General features: G+C 50.6%; 1 annotated feature.

Annotated features, from left to right (window-relative positions):
* Positions 4,030 to 4,531: an enhancer, noted in NCBI's record as "H3K4me1 hESC enhancer chr1:4929251-4929752 (GRCh37/hg19 assembly coordinates)". NCBI's record gives its function as "activates a minimal SCP1, AML or CMV promoter by ChIP-STARR-seq in naive H9 embryonic stem cells {active_cell/tissue: H9 hESC(naive)}" and the evidence as "EXISTENCE:reporter gene assay evidence [ECO:0000049][PMID:30033119]".

The following is a 5,255-nucleotide window of genomic DNA, read 5'->3' as shown; positions in this document are numbered from 1 at the left end:
GAGGTGAAGACTGAAAGTTCTACCCACAGCTTCAGCTTGGAAAAATCACCCTGTGCACGGCAGGTGGCATTGGCTCTGGAGCTGGCTTAAATTGCTGGTGGGAGGGTGGGCCATGGCTGTGAAGTGCTGGAAGACAGAAGAGGCACCAAATTGGGTGAGATTTAATCTGTGAATGCGGGCCTTCTGGAGGGCTCCTGGGGCTGGGCTGGCGAGCTCTGGGGACAAGCCCTGCAGAGCAGGTGCCTCTTATTGTCTCCCGGCAGAGATCCTGGCGGGAAAATGATGAAGGATGTGGCCTACCCTGGGTCTTGCTACCTTTTTGAGGTACTTTGGGGGTGAGTTTAGTAGTGATTAAAGATCCAAACCAAACCCACATGTCAAGGGATTTGTGAATTTCCTACCTGAAGACTGAACACTGCAGGGCATGTGAATGTTGTCGCCTTTCCAGCATGGAGAGAGCCCAGGGCTGCGTCAACCCAGGGAGCCTGAAGGATGGCATCGGGGGCCCTAGGCAGGCTCAGGCGGGCACTCACTGGCATCTTAAATCTTCTGCAAAATGGAGTCAACAAAATCATAACCCAGGGACATTTCTGAGAAATTGTTCTCTAGAATTAGCTGCAATATGGCACTAATAAAGAGAATAGTCTATAAAACATTATCAGTTCTAATTGATAATTGGATTTTTTGTGTTGCCATAAGCAAGGCTAAAAGCTTTAGATATTGTATTTAAATTTCTACTTTAAAAAATCTGAGGAAGCCCAGCCAAGCTCTTCTATTAGAGAGAAAGTTGGGGGGTGGGGAGGAAGAGGGAAGAAGAGAGAGAAAGAGAAAGAGAGAGAACTATTTGCATAAAATATGCTAGAGATAAAACTGGGAAGCTGGGTAGACAGGAGAGGACCTAGGCTTTGGTAATCCAGAGTGCTTAAAAATTATTTTGACTTCAATTTACTATTCTTAATCACTTTGCCAGCTTTAGCTGACACTGTTACCTAAACGTGGGACAAGCCGGGTTTCAGCTCTGCAGGGTTAACTCTAGGCAGCGTCCTTGGGTTTAGAAAGGGTCAGGCTCCACAAGGAGCCTTTGGCTGGAGGATGCCATCTTGAGCCTCTGTGCAGAGAGGGCGGGGTGACAGCACTGTTTGAAGGCCTGCTGGTTTTGCAGGCCTCGGTAGAGAACTCTTTAAAGGGAGGGTCTCCATCCCAGAACCCAGTTCCAGAAGGGTCCCTAAGAGCATCCAGCTCAATACTGTCATTTGTGGGCTGGAAATGAAAGGCTGAGCCCAGGGGGTCTCCAGAGACTGCAGATGGGGGTACAGGTGTGAATTCTCAGTTCTAAGAGGGAAGGTGCGAGCAGCAGCTGGTCAGGCATTAAATGGAACATAGTGCACCCAAATATTCTTAGCACTGAAAAATTCTACTCTGAAAGATTCGTTCTTTGGGTTTAAACATTGGCCTTTGCTTCAAACTTGTAAACGATGCAGAAATCATGGTATTGTCAGAACCCATTGGAGCTGATAATGACACATAAAACTTCAGCAGCCCCGCCTAAGTGTCAGGGGTGGGGCTAGGGTAAAGGGACTCTTATCCTCTAAAGGAGAGAAGGTCACCCAGACAGCCCCTGAGCCTATACCTCGACTCCCATCTTCTTCCTTCACAAGCTGGATTCTCCATTACTGAGGAGAGAAGCTAGCAGGCCAGGGAAGGGGTCTGTTTCTCCATCAGGTGTTCTCTGGGAAACTGAAAGAGGAGGTAGGAGGCGATGGGCCTGGGGACACAGCAGGCGAGGTGCTGGGGGAACCCACTCCAGGTCCTCTGACCTGAACCACAGATTCTGGCTCTGCAGCCTAAGGAGATGCCCAGCATGGACAAGCCGTGTCTCCAAAGCCCAGATTTCTCTGCCTGGCTGCAGAAGGGACTAGAATGAGCAGGTGTGAGCAAAGCCCTTGGCATGTAGGGACTGACCAGTGAACCGAGGATCGTGGATCAGCATCTTTGCATTGTTGCCAATGCATAAGAGACCCCTAACCTCAAAGCACTGAGTGAGAGAGGAGGTTACAAAAGAGGAGTGTGTGTGGGGTATGCATGTGTGTGTATGGCAGGTTGTGCAGTGTGTGTGTATATGGTGTGTAGTGTGTGTGCATGTGTGTGTACAGGGGATTGTGTGGTGTGTGTGTGGGTATGTGTGTATATGGGAGGTTGTGTGTGGTATGTGTGTGTGGTGTGTGTGTGTGCACGTGCATGTGATATGTGTGTGTGTTGGGGCAGAAGGAGGTACAAGAAACAAGCCCTGGTCTCAGTCTGGTTGAAGACTGTTCCTCTGTGTGTCTGTGGCACCCACAGCCTTGGGTCTGAAGTTTTGAAGCATCTCCCAGGCTTAGGGCCATGCTGTGTGGCAAAGGGCCTCTCAGGAAGGAGCTGACCTCCCATTCTTGAGGTGGCCTGGGTTCTGCCCCACATCTGCCCTGACCCCCCAGAGGAGCTGGCAGTGCCAGCGAGGGGTGTACCACCGTTCCCCTCTATTCTAACAGAATAGTGCATTCCTTACATTTGCCCAATTGCTACAAATCAGTGTATAATCACTTCTGTTTACATTTCCAATTATGGAGGAAGCGAATTTTACCTACTAAACAATTCATCAGTTGAAATTCCCCTAGAGAAATATTACTGACTTTCTGGCTGTTGCCTCAGAATAGAGACCTGGGGCCAGTGGCTTGGAAGATGAGAGGCACTCACCGTCGCGCCTGGGGGCAGCTCCTTGCAGCTCACCTCCACCAGTCAGCAGCTGGGAGAATGTGGCCTGTAGGAACACTTGCCTGTTTTCTTGGCTATATTGCCATTAGGATCAAAAGAGCTCATCTACAGGAACGAGCATGGCCACCGCAAGCAACTGTACATCAATACGGTGTCCTATTGAATCCTAAAGCCCAGAGCTGAACGTCCCCAAGCATGATTGCTCAACGCCTTCCTCACCCCAGGCCACGATGGTTCCATGGTCCCTGCCGCTCCCAGCCACATTTCTGCCAGCCTGGCCGATGCCCAGGGTGAGGCATCAACACTGTTGGTAAAGGCACCGATGGCCCTCTCCAGCCCTCACGTGGAATGTACCTTAGCGGTGGTCTGACCTGAGCCACTTCCTGCAGCTGCAGGGCTGGGGGACGTTTGCTGCAGACTGGGTACTTAAAACAACAGAAACTTATTGTCTCCCAGTTCTGGAGGTTAGAAGTCTAAGATCAAGGGTTGCTTTCTTCTGGGGCAGTGAAGGAAAACCTGCCCCACACCACTCTGCTGGTGGTTGCTGGCAATCATTGGCAGTTCTGGGCTTATAGATGCATCACCTCGATTTCTGCCTTTATCTCTATCTGGCCTTCTCCCTGCACCTGTGCCCCTCAGCCTGCATCTCCCCTTTTTATAAGGACACCAGTCCAACTGATTAGGGGCCCACCCTGCTCCAGTATGTCCTCATTTTTGACTTAACTAATTCCAACCGCAAGGATCATATTTCCGAGTAAGGTCACATTCTAAGTTACTGGTGGGTAGGACTTCAACATAAGATATTTGAGAGGGAACAACTCAACTGTAGCATAACCCACCTCTCCTGTGATATGTTCACGATAGAGGAGCCTCGAGTGGATGTGAGTTAGAGACCAATCATGACGCCTCAGCAGATGGTGGACTGTGCCCCAGGCCAAGTCTCTCGCACCTCACTGGGCCTCAGTTTCCTCATCTATAAACGGGAAGTGGGACCCACTCCAGAGAGTCATTCTGTGGATGGAATGCGGCCACGTGACTTTGCTGTGGGATCTGCTTGCTGGGGTCCAGGCAGATTCTGCCTTCAGCAGGGCACCTGCAGCTCCTGCACCATCAGGCCCGCTGTGTCCCTGTGCCAATGCCCCTACACCCCACTGCAGGAGATCTGCCTCCACCTCCACCTCTGCTGCCTGACTCCTATTTCGTGTCTGCTTCTTGGGCCCCAGGGTTGCACCATCTCAGCTCCCTCTGTCCTCTGTAGTCTGCCCACCCCACTGAGAAGGACCCAGACATTACAGGGTGGACTCGAGTGGCCAGTGCTACTGGGCTTGCTTCTGGAAGGCTCGTGAGGCTGCTTCCTCACCAGGGCCCATCCAGGGTCCTAAAGGCACAAACAGTGTGACTCAGCACAGGGGTTCATGTGCACCGGGAGCCGCTAAATTCTTCCCCTGTTTGTGCCATCATCCCTGGCTGATTTTCCAGCCTCGGCCTTAATGTGTCCACTTCCCTCTTTGCTAGCCTCTTCTTGTACTGGCGATGATAAACTTCGGTAACGTAACACCCAGAGCTCCACCAGGCCCAGGTATTTCTTCTCTGCCTCCTTGGAAGCCTTGGAGAGCTCAGGACCTGGCTGAGCCCCAGGGAACCCAAATTCCATGCCTCTCTCTTTCTGAGCTCTGCAAAATGTCCCCTTGGCACCTGGAATCCGGATCCACTGCCAGGATCACCCGAGTGGTCTTAGAAGGCAGACACCCCCTGAGAGGGCAGCTTATGGTTATTTCAGGGGGGCTTCCCACGCTTTTCATTTATTTGAGACAGCCCCCATGGGATTGTCCCTGAGCATGTGCGACAGGACTGATGGCCTCCATGCTGGGCCCTTGGCAGTTGTGTTCATGTCACACTAATGAGGAGAAGTGAAGCTTGTGCAGTGAGCACACCGCTAATGGGTGTCCACAGCAGCCTGTTCAAAATGAACTGACTCTCCTTTTCTCATTCTATTTACTGAAAAAAAGTTCCCTTTAAAAAATTAAGAGTTGAAGGGAATTTGTCAAAAGGACATTACCTGCAGACATTTCTACCAGGTTGCCTCTTGGAGTGCTTGTGCATAATTAATTAGAAGGCACAGCTCTTACAGTCCCTACATAAAAGTTAAAACCCATTTTACCGTGTTCTATATTTTCTGCTCAGCATCACTGTCAGGCAAGTTTCAAGGGAGACAGGTATTTGCATACGGTGCCAAGCTGAAGTTTCCATAGCAACAGGCTTCCTTGGAGAGCTCTACAAATGGGCTCCATCCTCACTTTCAGGTTCCACCCAAAACACTGGGTGAGAGCTGTGTGTGAGGGAGGACTGGCACCTCCAACACCTACAACCACTGCAACTACTCACCCCATGCCTGTTTACTTATGAAAACAGACCTGATGAGTTGAGATACTGACCAAAAAAAAAGTGGTTTGTAGTCACAGCTTCAGACTAAACAAGCAAAAAGAAGGCAGAGGAGGAGATAG

The sequence above is a fragment of the Homo sapiens genome, chromosome 1 (genome assembly GCF_000001405.40).
Source record: "Homo sapiens chromosome 1, GRCh38.p14 Primary Assembly".
Taxonomy (NCBI): Eukaryota; Metazoa; Chordata; class Mammalia; order Primates; family Hominidae; genus Homo; species Homo sapiens.
This window is presented reverse-complemented; position numbering and strand designations above follow the sequence as displayed.